This window comes from Homo sapiens, chromosome 18, assembly GCF_000001405.40.
Source record: "Homo sapiens chromosome 18, GRCh38.p14 Primary Assembly".
Taxonomy (NCBI): domain Eukaryota; kingdom Metazoa; phylum Chordata; class Mammalia; order Primates; family Hominidae; genus Homo; species Homo sapiens.
The window spans coordinates 6,730,577-6,749,232 of NC_000018.10; the positions used below are offsets into that span (position 1 = coordinate 6,730,577).

At 36.9% G+C, this 18,656-nt stretch overlaps 1 protein-coding gene across 8 annotated transcripts in view, besides 2 other annotated features; it reads left to right on the plus strand.

Annotated features, from left to right (window-relative positions):
- ARHGAP28 (Rho GTPase activating protein 28) overlaps positions 1-18,656 on the plus strand; it is a 186,001-nt gene that overhangs the window by 861 nt on the left and 166,484 nt on the right. The gene's annotated exons all lie outside the window — the stretch shown is intronic.
- Positions 9,875-10,375: an enhancer, noted in NCBI's record as "H3K27ac hESC enhancer chr18:6740450-6740950 (GRCh37/hg19 assembly coordinates)". NCBI's record gives its function as "activates a minimal SCP1, AML or CMV promoter by ChIP-STARR-seq in naive H9 embryonic stem cells {active_cell/tissue: H9 hESC(naive)}" and the evidence as "EXISTENCE:reporter gene assay evidence [ECO:0000049][PMID:30033119]".
- Positions 10,376-10,876: an enhancer, noted in NCBI's record as "H3K27ac hESC enhancer chr18:6740951-6741451 (GRCh37/hg19 assembly coordinates)". NCBI's record gives its function as "activates a minimal SCP1, AML or CMV promoter by ChIP-STARR-seq in naive H9 embryonic stem cells {active_cell/tissue: H9 hESC(naive)}" and the evidence as "EXISTENCE:reporter gene assay evidence [ECO:0000049][PMID:30033119]".

The window sequence follows — 18,656 nt, forward strand, 5'->3', positions numbered from 1 at the left end:
AAGCATCTCATCCTGTACATTTCAGATTTAATCAAGGATCTATGTTAAATTACTCTATCAGTGATCATCCATTTGATGCAAGATCAAGGCCAATGAGACTTTCATTAACTGAAACAAAAACGTTTAAGTGGGTAGACAAAAGTATTATGATGAGTGAGATGGTTAGATATTTGATACATATTTGGGGGAAGTTTTATTTGTGTAAATGTGACTATCTGATCCACTGACGAGTGCTTTTCTTTACAAGGGGGCAGTTTGAGTGGTGTGTTTTCATCATGTTTATTTTTAATCATTTCTTTTATCTCATACTTTTAACTTTAGTTGTGCGATAATTACTTCTGTTTCCTAATTTAATTGATTGTGATTTTAATTGATTTCCTAATTAACAGATTGTGACTTTATTTCAAGGAATATCTTTTTGGCTAGTATCCATGAGAAGAACAAAGTACATTGGCAAGAGATCTATGTTGGGCTTGGCTAACAAAGAAAATGTTGTTTCTTTCAAAAACAGCAGGTTGAGTGAAATCTCATTTTTATATAAAGACAGTGGGAAAATCACATTTTTTTTCCAGCTTTAGGAGTTGTGCATATACTTTTAAAGGCTGCTCGAAGATATAAACTGGCATTTGTCTTTAGGGTATTTTCTTTTCTAAACATAATTATTGGCTGTAAGTACTCAGATTATGACTAACTAAATAAATATATATATGTGTGCGTGTGTGTGTGTGTGTGTGTGTTTTGATGAAAAGCATGGGCCAAGTTTGTCCATTTCTTAAACGGTTCTAGTGTAGCTGTCCTGTCTATAATTCCCAGCAGCTGTCTCAGAACGCCAGCCAGATTGTGCCATTTGGGCAATTTGAAACTACATCCTTTTCCAAAGCAAACTAGAAGCAGAAGTTCTATTAACTCAGCATGTGGTCTTGTGGAATGATAATACATGAGAGCAAGCGTTACGTGTCAGAGCTAGTATTTCACCTTAAGGTTGCCAATTAGATTCACGTTGTTCCAAGTTTGCATTTTTGGTGACTGCCCTGCACTCTGTCTATGGGAGCCTTGGTACCATTGTTCCTCTGCTGCAGAACCCCCTGGCCCCCTGCAACCCAATCACAAGAGAATAGCTTAATTCCTTGGTTCCCAGTAAAAAAGCAATCAAAAAGAGGTTCCTGTATTTACAAAGAGCCAGAGGACACCATTAATCATAAGTCTGATAACAGAAATAATCAGGCCCAAGTTATTAACCTTTGACTCACTAACTAATGATCAATACTTCCTTTCAAGCCAAGAAGCAAGATCATATTGTTCTACCTCTGAAGAAAGCACTCTCTCTTTCAAGAATACCCTTTCCTTTAAATTGCTTACACATTTGTAACCTATTTGTGGAGCAATGACCAGAATGGCCCTAGAAAGCGTGGACTTTTGTATCTGCGTTATTTTTTAGCTCTTGGTGGCATAGGTTCAATTCAAAGCAAACCATTCTTTTTTATTTTCCAGACCCCCACTACACCTGAGTTTATATGTTTTTAAGGTTTTTTTTTTTCTAGCCTTTTCCCAGTAAAATAGAATATAGTATCTTTCTATTTGGTCATTTTTTCCACTATTATATCCCTAGAGCAGTATCTGGTACATTGTAGTAGCCCAATAAATATTTGTTGAGTAAATTAATGAATTCCTGCCAAGATTACAAAATAGCCAAGATAAAATGGTGGGATTTTTAACTGCCAACCTCAACCTGTTTGCACCTCCATGGCCAGCAACGTGTTAGGCATTTGGGTTACAGAGATAAACGGGACATAGTCCCTGCCCCAAGAATGTGGCCCTTTACCTTTCAAACCAGCAAGACTTTGAGAAAAAAAGAGGAAATAAGTGACAATATTTCTACATCAAGAGGCTTCAGATGTAAATCTGGATTTTTAGCTAACCATTTAAAAAAAAAATTGAAGGACCCAGCAGCTCAGGCCTGCCCTGCTGCCTGCCATCCCTAGCTGAAGCTGAGCTGCTCCATCATGGGGGCTGCTGTGCTTGTTTGCCACACTCTCCCTGTTTCCCTTCAACATTGAGGCAGTTTCTTTTAGGGCTGCTCATTTTATTTTATTTTACTTATTTTATTTTGTTTTCGTAAAGTGAGTAGCCAGTGAAATGTACTTGTCAGTTCCTCAGGCTTGAGGTCAGATTGGCAGACCTTGACTCTACACCAATTACTACAATGTGGCCTTGGGCAATTTACTTCCGCTGCTTAGGATATTGACTAACGCAGAGGAAGCACCAGATATATTAGCTGTATCCCTACGGTTATCACTTTTAATCAGGTGTTGTTGCTGTAAAGAGGAGAGTCAAACTTTTGGTACTTGCATCACTATCAGAAGCGGACAAACAAAATAAGGTCAAGAAAGCCTTGTTTGTCAAGAAAAAAAAAGGGGGCCATTTAAAACTCAAATATCTGAGTTTTATAGCTCCAATCTTGCAACCGAAGAATCAAAGGGATCACTCATTCTTACCTCATTTTATAAAATAGTTAAAACTATGTATGGAGCATAATAAGTGAAACCACCTGAAGTCACATAAATGCACTGGCCTTTAGAGGGAGTTGTGGGTACCTAAAAGATTCTAGGTTGCGATATATTGACAGTAAGGAATCCTCAGATTTAAGTTCTTTTTTTAAAATCAGTATTCAGAATGTATAAATTAATATGTTTATTTTTAATATATAGATTATCCTTTGTCCATCTTGTCCTGTTCTGTTTTTGCTCTTTAAATTTGCATGGGGCAGTCTGCTGTGGCATTTAAAATACTGTTATACATATTTCCTTTTGAGCTTTTGGGATTCCTTCCCACACCCCCCGTTTCTTTAAGAGTTATTTCTTTTTTTATATATAATTTCTATCACCATATTTCTTGATTCTAATAGAGTGTGAGGATGGATAGACTTGCTTGTTAATTCTCATAATTAATTCTATTTTCTCATACTACTTTTATCTTTCAAAGTTTTCTTAGGAATTAATTTCAAGGACTCCACAAAGTCTATTTTGGCTATTACTTTTCAGTAGCATGGCATACTTGTAACATGAATTTTAATTTGTTTCTTTGGAGCTAAAAGGCAAGAAAACCATCAAGATACAACATCTTTCTGTCCCTAATAGGCATACAAACTTTTAAGTAGTTTAAAGCAAGAGCATAATTCTCTCAGAGGAAGTTTTAGCAAACATATTTCATTCTCACTTATTTTCCATTTTGGTCAACTGATTTGATATTACAACAACAACAAAAAAACATTCTCAGCTTGTGTTTCTGGACAGTTTAGACTTATTCCTAATGAGGAACACCAATTACCTTCTGTGTTTAGCACCTTTATGTGCTTAACAGTGGCAGGGAGTCCTAGTTGGTGTCTACAGTGCATTTCTAGATCATGGGGGATTCCAACCACTGCGAAATTTATTCATGCAGCAAAGAGACTCACAAGTCATAAGTATTTGTTGGGAGGAAGAGAACTAATTCTTTATTTCACAAAATTGTATATCCACATCCTATTGTAAAGGAAGAAAGAGAATAAACTAACTATAAATTATCAGTTCTGTTAAATGGTTGAAATTAGAATCATGATTTTTAGAGAGGCTAAGCTTCTATTCAGAATCCAGAGTGAGACTATTGACAAACATACAAAATAATTTCACTGATAAAATGAAACGTAGCTGAGGATAAAGCTAGATTTTGTTTTTCAAGGGTTTCCTGAGTATATACAAATAATGAAGTACAATGTTTTTTTTGTGAAGGTATAGTAGAAAATGGCCATGATTATTTCTGATATTTATCTAGTTATACCATAAACTTCCCGAGAGAGGACAAAAATAGAGGAGGGAAACAGCCAACTCTTCCTCGAAAACAAATATAGAAGCTAACCAAGGTTATCCTAGGAATTCTAATTCTACAGCAATGTTTAAACTTCTGTGAGGGGGCTATTGTTTCTTAACTATTCTTAATAATAAGATAATTTGATTAAAATGGAATGGATGATTAGAAAGTAAATATTTTATATTGAGGAAAAACTAAATTTAGCAACTTTTAGTGATAGATTTATTGGTACTTTCCTGGACTGAAATTAATTAATTAAGAAAACATTTACTTCCAGGTGCTAACTCTTACTAAGCATTTATGTAGGCCCGTATGAGCTTATGTACACATGCACAGGGACACCATATTCTGGGGGATACTAGGTATACTTTCTTGAGAGGATTCAAAAATAGTAATGGAAATAAGATTCTTAGTAGACAATAGGTATTTATAGGTCATTCTTTATGTTATGGTTGAAATCAGAGTTGGTGTCTCTGGTTTCTTTTTACAGTGGGATCCCTGCTGAGCGTAGATTCCTCCATATGCAGAGCTGTTGGAAAACATCTGGTACATTTCCTTTGATGGTATCATATGGCTAAATATTTGGCCAGTTGCTCTATCCATTTTTAAGCTGCTCACTTCTCCCTGATCATTAATCTCTAATGTATGCACAAAAGTTTAGGGAATTTAGAGTATTGTAGAATCGCCTTATGTAGATGAAGATGGTGACTAAAAAGTCATAACTTTTAACTTTCTATTTTGATGTAATTTTGGGCTTAAGAAACTTGCAAAAGTAGTCCAGAAAGTTTCTGCTTCTGCGTAACCTTTACCCAGATTCCCCAAATGTTAACATCTTGCAAAACCAGAATACCATTTGTGAAAACTAAACAAAGTAAAACTGGTACAATACTGTAAACTAAACTACGACCTATGTTTTGATTTCACCAGTTTTCCAATAAAATCGGAATTTTCCTGTTGTAGAATTGAATGTGGGACTCCACACTGAATTTTGTTGTATCTCCCGAGTCTCCTGCAATCTGACAGACTGTCCTTGTCTTTCATGACACTTTTTGAGAACTGGTTGGTGATTTATAGGAAGTCCTTCAAATTGGGTTGGTCTGATGTTTTCTCATGATTAAATTAAGGTTATGCTGTTTTTTTTTTTTTTTTTGAGCCAAGGTCTTGCACTGTCATCCAGGCTGGAGTGTAGTGGTCTGATTATGGCTCACTGTAGCCTCGACCTCCTGGACCTAAGCAATCCTCCCATCTCAGCCTCCTGAGTCGCTGAGGCTACAGGCACATGCCACCATGCCTGACTAATTTTTGTATTTTTTGTGGAGATGGAGTTTTGCCGTGTTGCCCAGGCTGGTCTCAAACTTCTGGGCTCAAGTGATCTGCCCACCTTGGCATCCCAAATTGCTGGGATTACAGATGTGAGCCTTCAGCCTGACCAAGCTTATGCATTTTCGATGAGAAATCTGTGGAAGTAATATTGGGTCCCTCTGAGGGCATCATACAGCGGGTATGCGACGTTGACATCTTACTAACGTTGGTGTTAGGTTTGATCTTCGGGATAAGGTGGTGTCTGCCAGATTTCTGTACTATAAAGTTACGATTTTCCTCTTTTTAATTAATAGCTACCTTTGGAGAGATACTTTGAGACTGTGGAAATATCCTTTTTCTCCTTAAACTTTTAGCATTTATCTGTGGATCTTGTCACTACAATTCACTAATGTGGTCTTCTAAAGGTGACTTTCTATTTCTCTCATTTCTTCTACATTTGACTCATTTTACATACTATGAAATAGACGTCTAGTAGTCTTGCTGATTTTGTTTTTATCTCATTAGCTTTTAAAAGGTCAGCCAAATATAAATAGTCATCAACAGTCATTTAATCTACTCTTTTTTTTTTTCAGTTTTGACACAAAGTATAAAAAATGTTTTAATTTTACCTGGTCTGACTTTATGAAAGCTCTAAAGATAGATTTTCTAATTTTTAAATTTCTGTGATTTTTTGGAAGCAAATGTTTATTAATAGGCTCAAAGGAAAAAAATCGGCTGGGTGCAGTGGCTCACACCTGTAATCCCAGCACTTTGGGAGGCCGAGGTGAGCGGATCACCTGAGGTCGGGAGTTCGAGACCAGCCTGACTAACATGGTGAAACCCCATTTCTACTTAAAAAAAAAAAATACAAAATTAGTCGAGCGTGATGGTGGGCGCCTGTAATCCCAGCTACTTGGGAGGCTGAGGCAGGAGAATCACTTGAACCCAGGAGGCGGAGGTTGTGGTGAGCCAAGATCATGCCATTGCACTCCAGCCTGGGCAACAAGAGTGAAACTCCATTTCAAAAAAAAAAACAAAAAACAGAAAGTTGCTAAATTAAATGCTGTGTTAAGAGAGTGTAGTTGTTCTTAAATCCCACTTTGCCTAGAGAGTATTACTGAAACTATCTTTTATTCTTTGAGAATTATCTTTGTACCTGATGGAAAACATTTTCCTCTTACCAGTGTTCCGGAGATGTTATCTGAACATCTGCAAATGTATTTTAACTAAAGTAAACATTCTAATTTGCATGTAATCAGAATTTTTTCTCATTCCATCCTCAAACTAAACAATTTTGTTTCTGAGGTAATTGCCATGTTCTTATTTCTCAACCATATGGTCTCTAGATGTCAGTTCTAGCCAAGAATAAAAGTAAAATGTTATATAGCAAAGCAGAAGAGGTAAATGGAATGTTTTTCAGAAGAAAATTTTGGAAATAAATTCTATCTGTTTAAGCAATACACTTTGCTTTGTTTTTAAGCCTCTTTGGATGAAAATAAAGTCAGGCATACCCTTAAATAGTGTTAGAAATTAACCTTTTCTTAATGACTGTTATCATTAAGACAGCATAACTGCATGTGTTTACTAAAGTAAAGGTACCTATTGAGATGTGTAAGTTTGCTTGCTTTACTAATAAATAGTCTATATTGGTATATTGTTTTATTTCCTAAAAATTGAAATTATTACTTATTTCTTCAGGCAGCTCTGAAAGTCTTTAGCAGTACTTTTATTTCTAATATTGTTACTTTTAACATGCTTTGTAATTTACTTTTGATTAGATAATCAGCTTGTTACAACTATGTAAAGGCAATGCTGTTTAAAGGACTAAAGTGTATACTCTTGTTGAAGAATTTGATAGCATTTATTTTGGTTTCTTTGAGAGTCCTTTTTAGCTTGTTTGCTTTTTGTCTCTTGCTGTGCTCTGATTATTGAGTTAGTGAGTTTTTCATAATGTATCATTCTTTATCATATGAAGTTTCATACATTATTTCTTTGTGATTACTCTAGGCTGTGCATCAAAACAAAATACTAAAGTGTACAAAAACTTCAAGTTGCATTAGTCTCTAAAGTGGGAAATAAAAAAAGTAGATTGTTTTTCTATATATGCGTCTTCTTAAATATCTGGGGTTTATGACACATTCTTTGAGTATCAAATGTGTTATGTCACTCTTCAATGAATGAATAATATAGATAAACTGTCCATTTGACAGGCAGTTAGTGCCATGTAATTCCAAGGGTGGGAGAACATATACTAAGTATCCCTTAGAAAACCAGCTGCCTGTGTCATGTTATTCTGAAAAGCTAATTAAATCTATGCATTCCTTTTCTGATCCCTTAGTTGAATAGATGATGACTGCATACAAACACACAATACAAAGGACAGGAAGGAGAAACTGGAAACCAAGGACAAAAGTAGTAGGTAGTGTTTCTTGAACTGTCAAACACTTGAGATTTATTTGTGCTATTTTAGCAATTATAAGTTTGGGTACTGATTATCTTTTATGTACCAAAGATAAATCTTTGTATCTTTGTTAAACTTTGTGGTTAGCCACAAATTTACTTATATACATTTATATATTTACTTATATACATTTATACTTTACTTATAATTTACTTATATACATTTACTTATACTTTATACATTTACTTACATAAAATTTACTTATATACATTTATAATGTACAGGGAAAAGAATCCCTTTGAAATTTCCTATTGAGTATTCATTTATGAAAATCAATTTAGAAAACACTGATCAATGCATTTGCCTTAAAAAGAAACCACTTATTAGTGTATTTACCTTTATACAAAGGCCCATCAATTATTTTAGGTTTTTGAAGATCAGTAGAGAAATCTGACAGTGGCTAGAAAAAATTCTCAACATCCTAAAATGACATTATAACCCATACTGTGATATTGGATTTATTTCTTTTCTCTCCACTTTTCCTCTCACCCTCACTACAACACAAAAATTTATGTAGTAGCCAAAGTTACATGTCAGTGGTTGGGAGTAAATCTATATTTAAGTGGCAAGAGATAAAAAGCAGAAGAGAGAGAGAGAGAATAAATAAACGCAGTCAAAGAAGTGAGGACTAAATTTCTCTGAAGGTTTCCTCGACAACTGTAGCCAGAAGGGTTCTGACCTACCGTAACAAGCTGCCATCTACCACCATAATGCTCATTTGGTAATCAGTCATGCCCTAATCATGCCCTGTGGTCCTGCGATGTTGATTCTTTAAAAATAAGTCCTAGCTTTAATCAGAGCTTACAAATGAGGCAAGCACTATACTAAAAGCTTGACATACATTACCCCAGTTATTCTTTAAAACTGTTTTGTGACACAGGAAGAAACTGAAGCACAGAGAAGTAACCCAAGATCACACAGCAAGGAGAGCCAAGATTCCAACCCGGTCTCCTCTAGAACTGGTGCTTTTAACCTGTTATTTAAATCTTGTAACATTATTAATATATTATGGATTTATTGTTTCTCTGCCTCAATTTGATTATTGAGAGCAGGGACAATACCGGTATAGTATTAGCAACCAGCAAGAGCAACTTCTGCATAGTAGAGGTTATAAATATTCAGTGTTGATTTAGTCTTACATTTTGCAAACATTTCTATTCTGTTTTAATGGAATAAGCATAGAAGTGGGTATGAATGGATATATGAAATTGATTTAAATATAATAATATATTTGAGAACTCTTGTTATCACTTGAAGGAAGTTCAATAATAGGATTTTTTTCATTTATATTCTTACCCTTCACATAGTCTGAAATATATTTCATATATATATTAAGAATATATATATAAACATATATTCTTACCCTTCACATGGTCTGAAATACTTATTTAAGACTATATTTAACAGTATTTAAAACTAGACAAAATGTTCTAGAGCAGACATTCAAATTGACTAAGCTTTCTCTCTCTCTCTCTCTCTCTCTCTCTTTCTTTCAGAAGGAGGGCAGGTTTTAATCCTTTAATCTTTAGGTTTATGTTCTTAGTAACTAGATCTTATAATTTTTCACTTTAGTTTTATTAATTGCTTTTTTAACAACTAAAATATATTTCTATAGTTAAAAACATTTTTTTGTTTCATTCCTTGCAGTATGATTTATACCATAAGAATTCTTTTTTTTTTTTTTTTGAGACGGAGTTTCACTCTCGTTGTCCAGGCTTGTGTGCAATGGTGCAATGTTGGCTCACCGCAACTTCCACCTCCCAGGTTCAAGCAATTCTCCTGCCTCAGCCTCCCAAGTAACTGGGATTATAGGCATGCGCCACCACACTCGGCTAATTTTGTATCTTTAGTGGAGACGGGGTTTCTCCATGTTGATCAGGCTGGTCTGGAACTCCTGACCTCAGGTGATCTACCTGCCTTGGCCTCCCAAAGTGCTGGGATTACAGGCATGAGCCACTGTGTCCGGCCTTACCGTAAGAATTCATAATGAACATTGAGAAACCACACTTCATGAGAATTAATGAATTCTTCCTCTATTCTCTCCCAATTTTCAGTCAAGTTTTCACCTTGTTTTGAGTTGAAAGCAACCAGGGGACCAAGTCAGGTCCTAGACTATGACATTGTAGAGATCAGTTCTGTTCTAAATCGTGCTCAAAAATTTAGGCTGTGGAAACTCAGACTCCTGAGCCATCCCTAGTCTCCTGTAAGCCTGAGTACAGCCCTTGTCCCTCAGTGACCTTGGAGCCATGGATGATGCCAACCTCAGATGAGCCTCAGACATTTCCATTTAGAAAACGAATCCTAGGCCCATCTTAGTCTGGACCTGAATCCTCTGCAGAGGTCAGAATCATAATGGCCCTCAGGCTCTGGGCCCTTGTGTTAATTTTTCAAGCTATTCATTTTAATAAACTTTAGTTCTTAGGACACCAGAACTATAGAGATAGGACAATCATTTTCATTATATGATAAATGGTAGTCTGGACTTTTCTGCTAACTGCCATGTTTTAGGAGTGTCTTCTCATTATTTTTAACCAGCTAAGGAGCTCAGAGTATGTTGCTAATGAGAACAAAGTTTCATGAAGACCAGTCATGAGTAAGGATAGCCAGGAACAATGTCTGTGCTACAACTGGAAAGCAAAGTATGGAAAAGTGTCTTGCCTAGAGCCTTACAGGGAATTACCAACCTGTCGATCCTGGTTTGATCACCTGCTTCCCATTACCACAGCGTTCACTCAGGCCCACAATGTGGGCTACTGGGTTCGGGGAAGCAGGAAGGCCAACAGCAAGGAAAACATGGAAGAGGGGAGAACTGGCTCCCTGACTGGGTATGGAGCTAGAGAAAAGGTGGTGTCGATTATGAGAATGGCATTTCCTTAGCTTCCTTTCAAACACTATTACAACCACCCTTGCACATTATCTTAGTGAGTGTAAGTTGGAGTCTTGAAAACATATTTGCTGTGACTTTTCATTAGCATCTTAAAAAAAAATTACTGACCTCAACAGAGTAAGCAATTAATGAGGGAAAGAGCTGACTGTAAGTTTCCACAGATTCTGTTTTGAAAAACAGAGGATGCCTGGCCCTGTGATTTTTAACATACCACAACTTAACTCCTCTCCCTCCTCATTTATAAGGCTCTGTGATTACAAGGTCGACTTGGCAACTGTTTTCATAAAATCTGAATTGTGCTGAGTTGCAGAAAGCTGCAGGCTAGAGGACTCCCACCTCTTCCAGCTTCTGGAGGCATGGAATTGGAAAAAGCAGGCCAGGCTCTGCATGTCTAAAGCTGTGTCATCCTTCATGAGGCAATGATCCCACACCAGCTAAAATAACATGAGTCATTGCTTATAAGAAGCCCAAGTGAAGCTGATTTCGATTATACCAATCCTAAACAAACATGATACTCCTCTTATCCAGATGATAAAAAAAGTTCTCATTGTGGGAGTTAAGAAAAAAAATAGCACCAATTCTCTTTAGAGTTCAAGGAAGTGCTTTGCCATTTAGCGGACTTTTGAAGTTTATCTTAAACAGGAATTCATCATTTAGCCAAATCTTACTCTAGGTTATTCTTGCTTTTGTCTCTTTTACTCCCCTACCCCCAACCCTGCCCACATCCAGTTTGGCTCATTAGTATTTTACTCTGGTTTGAAAGCTATTGAATCAAAATCCATAAAATCAAAACTGTAATCTTGTAGCTCTTTGCTTTTATTCTTTTCCAGGATCCCCCAATCGCTTTATTCCTCTAGAGTATAAAAGATGGTTTTAAAGTAGACCACAAAGAGCTGGAGAAATGGTTTAGAAGGGTAATGAAGTAGCTTAAGTAAAGCTGATGAAGTCCTCAGCTGGAATTGTGGGAATATGGATGGAAGGGACCGAAGGATTCCATGGGGAAAACAAGCAAATAAGTTGGTATAATTTGGTGATTAAATGCATGCTGAGAACTAGGAACACATGACTTGGTTTTCTTTTTTTCTTTTTTCTTTTTCTTTTTTTTTTTTTTGACAGAGTTTTTTGCTTTTGTTGCCCAGGCTGGAGTTCAGTGGTGTGATCTTGGCTCACTGCAACCTCAACTTCCTGGGTTCAAGCAATTCTCCTACCTCAGCCTCCTGAATAACTGGGATTGCAGGCACCCACCACCATGCCCGGCTAACTTTTTTTGTATTTTTAGTAGAGATGGGGTTTCATCATGTTGGCCAGGCTGGCCTCGAACTGCTGACCTCAGGTGATCCACCCACCTCGGCTTTCCAGCATGCAGGGATTACAGCCGTGAGCCATCGTGCCCGGCCATGACTTGGTTTTCTGTCTGGGAGTGTTAGGTATTGAATTTGGGAATTGTGGTGGATGAGCAGATTGTGGATGGGGAGACAATGAGTTTGACATGTGAAATTTCAACCTTTAGGTTCTTGTGGGATAATTAAGTGTATATGCTCAGCAGACAGGTGGCTATACAAGTTGGAAGCCTAGGAGGGAGATCAAGGCTGAAAGTTCTAAGCTATTTATTCATGGGAGACTTCAGCATTTGGGGGATGGTTAAAACTGGGCTTGGATGAGATCTGGCAGGAGACAGTAAAGTCTCTATAGAGACAGCAGTGGAACAAGGATGGAAACTTGAGTAATGCCAGCTAGGGAAGGACAGGGCTTGGGAGCCTGTGACGGAGACCAACAGGATGAGAGCATTCCAGAAGCAAAGGCAGCAGGCTCAGAATGATCAGACAGCCACATCAAAAGTAGCTAAATGAACAATATGGTAAAGAAAATCATCCACCAGATTAAGTAGTGTGGATATCAGTGATGGTCTTTGCTATTGTGGGTTTAATAGAGTTGTAGAGGTGGGAGCCACTTTGCTGCAGGTTGAAGAGTGATGATGAGATAAGAAAATACAGGCAGAAAGTAGATATGATTCCTTCTAAAAGCTTAGCTAGTGAGAAGGAAGAGAGAGAAGAGGGAGACCGACGAGGGGAGCATTAAAAAATGTACCCAAAAGAACTAAAATTCTGATCAAAGTCGAGAAAGAAATCTAGCATTTTTAAAATGCAGAACTTAAAAACCCATTTCTTTTCTTACTTAAAATCCTTTGATAATACGTTTTTGCTTATAGGATAAAGCTTTATTCTTAGCCTCAAAATAATATGGAAGCATTTCTAGAACAAGAATATTGTCTATTTTCTTCATTACTGGATCCTTAACTACCTTCCCCTCTCCCTCATCAGACGGCCTGGCACTTAGAAGAGTCTTAACAAATGGTTAACTGTGGAGGCTGAAATGTGGAAATGTGATTTCTCCTTTGTTGGAAACTACCAGGGAAGTCTTCCAAAATCTGAGCATCCCTTCCTTTACAAAGTCTTCCCTGAGAGAGAAAATACACTAAATTAACCTTTATTCATAGGATAGTATATACTATTGATAACATGCATAGAAATAAGAATAATAAAAAATCAAACTGGCAACAATTGTAAATAATCATAGCTTCATACATAAAACTGAGTGCAGCATGGATAGATAATTAATAGAAAGTAAATATATCCCCCAGTGTTTTAAAAGATTAAATTTTACTTGAGTCATTTCACTCATTAAAACAAGAAGAATTTAAGCTCTGACTCTTGAAATAAAAAGTGAAATTGAACAAATGTTTATTGAACCTCTCTATGCCATATGTGATATTGGATGCTGGGGCTACAAAAATGGTTAATAGCTGGTCCTTAAGTGAGAAATGTATTCATGATTAATTTCAGCTGCATCCAGAGTTCCACTCCTTGAGGACAGAAACTGTCTCTTATCTCTGTATCCTTAGCATTTTAGCCTACTGGCCCAGAATTGACACTCAGTATGTGAATGGTTCAATGAATGAATGATTGAAAAAAAAAGCATAAGATACTCTGGGAAAGCAGAGAAGATGTAACTAACGTTTAGGGCTCGGGTTGGTGAGAGAAGGGTTAACAAAAACTTCTTGGAGGAGTCGATAGCTCAATTAAATCTAAAGAGTGAGCATGAGTTAGTAGGGGGGATTTTAAGAGTTGGAAGAGTGTTTTTGGCCAAAGAACCAGCGTAAGGAAGAGGCGTTGCAGCATGTAACCACAGATGCTGGTATTGCTGATACCCTGAAATATGAGATGAGGGTGGGAGAGTAGAGACCATTTAATGTGCACTTTGAGTAAAATGATTAGGGTCAGACTGTACTCAGTGACATACCCAATTTCTTCATCTGGATTATGAGGGGCTCCATTAGTTGACCTCAAGGGTCTTTTCTCATGCTTAGATTCTATTTTTCCCTATTATTAAGTTGGAAGTGAGGGTAATGAGATAATCCTAGATTTTTAACTAAAACACATTTTTAGACCTGTGCTAATTTTATGATAACACCTTTCTCCCCTCTCATTGAACTGTACTTATTTAATTGATCTCTCAGGTACTTTTGCTGTCTGTACAGTAGCATGAAATTGTTACCTAATTTTAGTTCATTCAATTACTCAAAGTGGAGCTTGGTTTATTTCAACTAAGCTACCTAAGTCCAGATAATATATTAGTAAGATGCTTGTGTTTAAGGTTTTCTTTGAAAAATGTAGCCTGTCCAATAAGCTGAACTGATTTTTGTTTTTCAGATGATTGTGAATTGGCAACTTAATTAATAGGAATTTTAGGTAGTGTTTAAGAATGCTATGGCACTTTATTTTATTTATGTTTTTCAAAGTTAAAGAGAGTATTCACGAAAAACTTCTTTTTTGAAAGATAAATTTTATTAATATTTTATGTGCTAGATTTAATAATTTCATTTATACTTAATTTAATTATATTTAATTTAACTATGTTTATATTTCATTTAATTAAAATACTTTATACTCTTTTTGGCACAAAATTAGAAAAATTTAATAGAATTTAAATTAAAGTGGAGAGTTCCAAGAAACATGGGAGCATATTGTTGAATATTTTCCTTGTGTTTTTAATAATTCAATAAAACACACACACATACATTTTAAGAGGAAAAATCTATTTCACTTTTTTTCCTCATTTTCTGCTTTTGAGTGTCCTCTGACATGCTAGGCCCTAAAACTGATATCTGATGACATATTGCAAGAATGTGCCTGGGAAGAAAATGGGCTTAGAGGCTTGACAGGAATTTCCTTCCACCAAGGAACATTTCTTCACCTTTTTTTCTCTCTTCTTCACCTTTCTATCTTCACTTCATCTTCTTATCCATTACCATGGAGGGAAAATTATATAATGGTCATGAATCTAAAGACCTCCAGGATTTCTGAAGCCATACCCACAAACAAATAAAAATAAATGCTTTATTTAGTGATGTCAGTTTAAAAATCGAGGTATACTTCCTCTACAGTAAAGTGCACTGTTAAATATTCAGTTCCATGATTTTTGACCCATGTAACTACCATCCAAAACAAGATATATAACATCTCCCTCGCCCCAGACATTTTCTTCATGCACTTTGTTCCTTCAATTACTCCTTCCAGGCAACCCGTTTCTGACTTCTGTCACCACAGATTAGCATTGCCTGTTCGTGGAAGCCATCACAGCATGTATGATTTGTGTCTGGCTCCTTCGCTCATCATAATGGTTTCTGAGGTTCACACACATCATTTCATAGAAGCCTGAAAGTGCCAATAATGTGTACAGACCATTTAGTGGTTTTATCCTATTATTGTACCCAATTGTCATCCAGCTGTCTGGCAGCTGTTGGCTGTTGGGTTAAGAGGGGCTGGGCAAGGAAGCAGGTTTAGAGTAAAACCTATCACACTGTGAGAAAACCGAACTCAAGATTCTACTCCCAGGACACTGCATCTGGAGACTCATTTCTCCATTGTAGACCCAGCCAAGATTGGGATGTAAGCAAGTTTATTTTTGCGCCTGATCAATTTACTTTGGCTTCCTGGAGCCCTTCTATTTTCCCTGTAGTGATCCACGAAGGGATCATTTTGTTCTACCAAGGAACAGTCTTCTCAGCATTTAAGGTGTTTTACCTTCCCAAAGCATATATACATTTCTTTAAACCTCTAATAGTGAGACTCCAGGTCTCATTCAGAGAACGGAATGTTCTTTAGGCAGGAAGTCACACACCTCAGTGCACATAATTTAGACCAGGGGTTGGCACAGTTTTTCTGCGAAGGGTCAATATTTTAGGCTTTGCTGGTTGTATTTTCTCTGTGGGAACTCTACTGTTGTTATCGAGAAAGCAACCATAAACATTACATGAACCAATAGGGTTGATTGTGTTCTGATAAAACTTTATTTAGAGAAACAGGTAGTAGCCTGGATTTGGCCTGTGGGCCATAATAGTATCTGACTCCTGTTTTAGACAGCTTTCTACTCCGCCTACTCATGAGGCTTGTGTAGCAAGCCTATCCTAGCAAAATACAGAGAATTAGTTTTCCAGAATACAGAAAGCTGAAAGGAACCTGGGGTTGCACCTGTTACAATCTCTCATTTTTAAGTGAAAACACTGAGTCTCAGAGTAGTAACTTTTCAAGGTCACAAGGAATCAGTGAAGAGTCCAGACAATTCAGTCTTTAACAGATTCTGATGGATATGAGTCACATTACTTCAAATATAGTGTCATGTTGACATTTGGAGAAACTGTCTTAGCTCATGTGTTTTAAAGGAATAAAAGAGAAAGAGAAAGAGAGAGAAACGGATATAGGAATTCATGTGGTAGTGTTCTGAAAACTTAACCAGGGGTCAGCCAAGAAAGGATGAGAGTTATACATTTGGCAAGTAGATTGATTAATGAAACAAAAAACAGCACTGTATATTGAACACTTTGTCTAAGTCTGTTTTAAAATTATATATGTATGATGAATGAATAATAAATAATTTTAACTGAGAAAATAGAGACCTCTAGATTCTCTGATATTCAGTTCATTCATCCATTTATTTTCTTTTTTTTTTTTTTTTAGCAAACATTAATCAAATATCTTCTCTTGAAGCCACCATGAAAGAGCAAAGCTAATCAAGACAGAGTTCCTGTGCTTGAGGAGCTTATATTGGAGCCCAGGAGAACTGGGAACCATTTCTTGTTTAGTACTGTATCCTCTAAAGAGGAAACAGGGTTTGCTTCATGGAGGACATGATACTTGAGTTGGACATGTGGATATGGTGTGATGTGTGTATATTGGTCTATAGATGAAGGTAGACGGTAGGGAGAGGGAGTCAATAATTCAGTCAATAATTCAGGTTGGATGTATTTAGAGATTGGCAAGGGAAGTAGTGATAGTTTTTGTAGATATGTTTGGCAGGGTTTAATTTGTGGGATGGGATTGGCTCAACAGACCAGTTGTCAAAGAGATGTCAGTTGTTTCAGCCAAAGCAGTTAAAATAAGTTAATAAAAGTGCCTCACTTTGGGAGGGTGTCTTCAACTCTATAGATGCCATATAGTCTATTGAAGTAATTAAAATATTGAATTAAATATTAAAGCATTGATTTTGAAAGAATCAGACTCAAGCAAAAAATTCTTTTAGTGCTCTTGAAGAGTTCATGCTTCCCCACAGAAAAAATACCCAAATAACTGGTAGAAACTACTTTACACATTGGAAGTAGCTGATTTAATAGCTACTAATCATAAACATATGCTGGAATCATAGTGGTTCAGCCAGAGTGCCAGTATTCGGACTTCACATTTAGTAGAGACATACATAGCTCTTACCCCCAGTGACTCACACTTTCTGTGTTTACCTTGGCTTGTGGTTGGATGATCCAGCTGGGTATCCAGTGTTGTGCACCAAAGGCACATGGGGTAAGCAGAGGGGGAAGGCTTTAACTCGACACTAATGAAACACTGGCTTGCCTTAGGCATTTTAGTAATTATGTGAATGCAAAAATATTACTAATAACAGAGCATATTGTGGAGGCCATCTCAAACCTGGTCATCTGCATTCAAGCTCATGGCCACAGGTGCTGTGGAATGCACCGTTTGCTGTGAAAGTGGTGAAGGAGATCCAGTTAGAGATTTTCTGCCTTCCTGGAATGACACCACCCCTAGAATAGAAATCTCCACATTCCCAAACAAGATTCAACCTAAATCAACAAATATTCGGTTCAACGAACCAGTTACTGCATCAATACCTATTCCGGGAAACTTTTACATCCAGGGTATCTTTACATTTATAGATACCATGACTATATTGTATACCTGGAGAGAGCTCTCACAGTATTAAGAGTGTTTCTCTGGTACATAGAGATTAGCTTTGAACAAGTATAGGGCAAGTTCAGTATAAAAATAGCACATGGCTAAAATAGGGCCTGGCTCGAGTGACTGCTGTGTTGGAGGCTGCCATCTGTGTTGTCTCCTTGAATCAGGACACTTCTGGGCAGCATTGCCATGATGGGCAACTTCTGTGGCTTGGATGTTTCTGGCTGATGTGAGAAAGCTGATGGAGGAGAGGCTGGGAGGACTCTGGGCATACCAGAAAATACCATATGAATAGGATGTTTCTGTTTTCAGAAGTGAAAAATGTTGGCAATCAACATTTAACAAGGTCAGGGCCCAAGAAGGTACTGTCTTCTAGTCATTTCTCAAGGAAGACAGAGAGGAAACCAAAGTCTTTCAGTATTTCCCACATGTTTACTGGAAATTATACAAATTGTTGACTAATAGGAAAACAAGGGAAATTAATCCTTTTTTAAACCCTCACATCCACAGTTTGTGGCCCATTTCCTAAATGGGAGTTTGGTCTGTGTTTCTAGTGCCTTCCTTGCATTCCCCTGTGGCTGTGTGATCTGCACAGGAGACCGTCAGTCACTAGTCTTGTGTGTCAAGATGGAGGCAAAACATATTTGTTTATGTAAATGTTTATGCATGCAATATGTTTATGCATATTTGCTTATCCTCATTCTAAGGTTGGAGATAAAGCTTCTAGCACATCTCTGACCAATATAATCATAACAACATTAGACAAAAATGTTTGAGCTAAAAGTCAAAATCATAACATTAGACAAAAATGTTTGAGCTAAAAGTCAATCAGTGCAAACAAGTGATCTGATCTGTTTGTATGTTATCCATTCAGTAGGCCATAGTATACTAAAAATAGAAATTCAAGAAA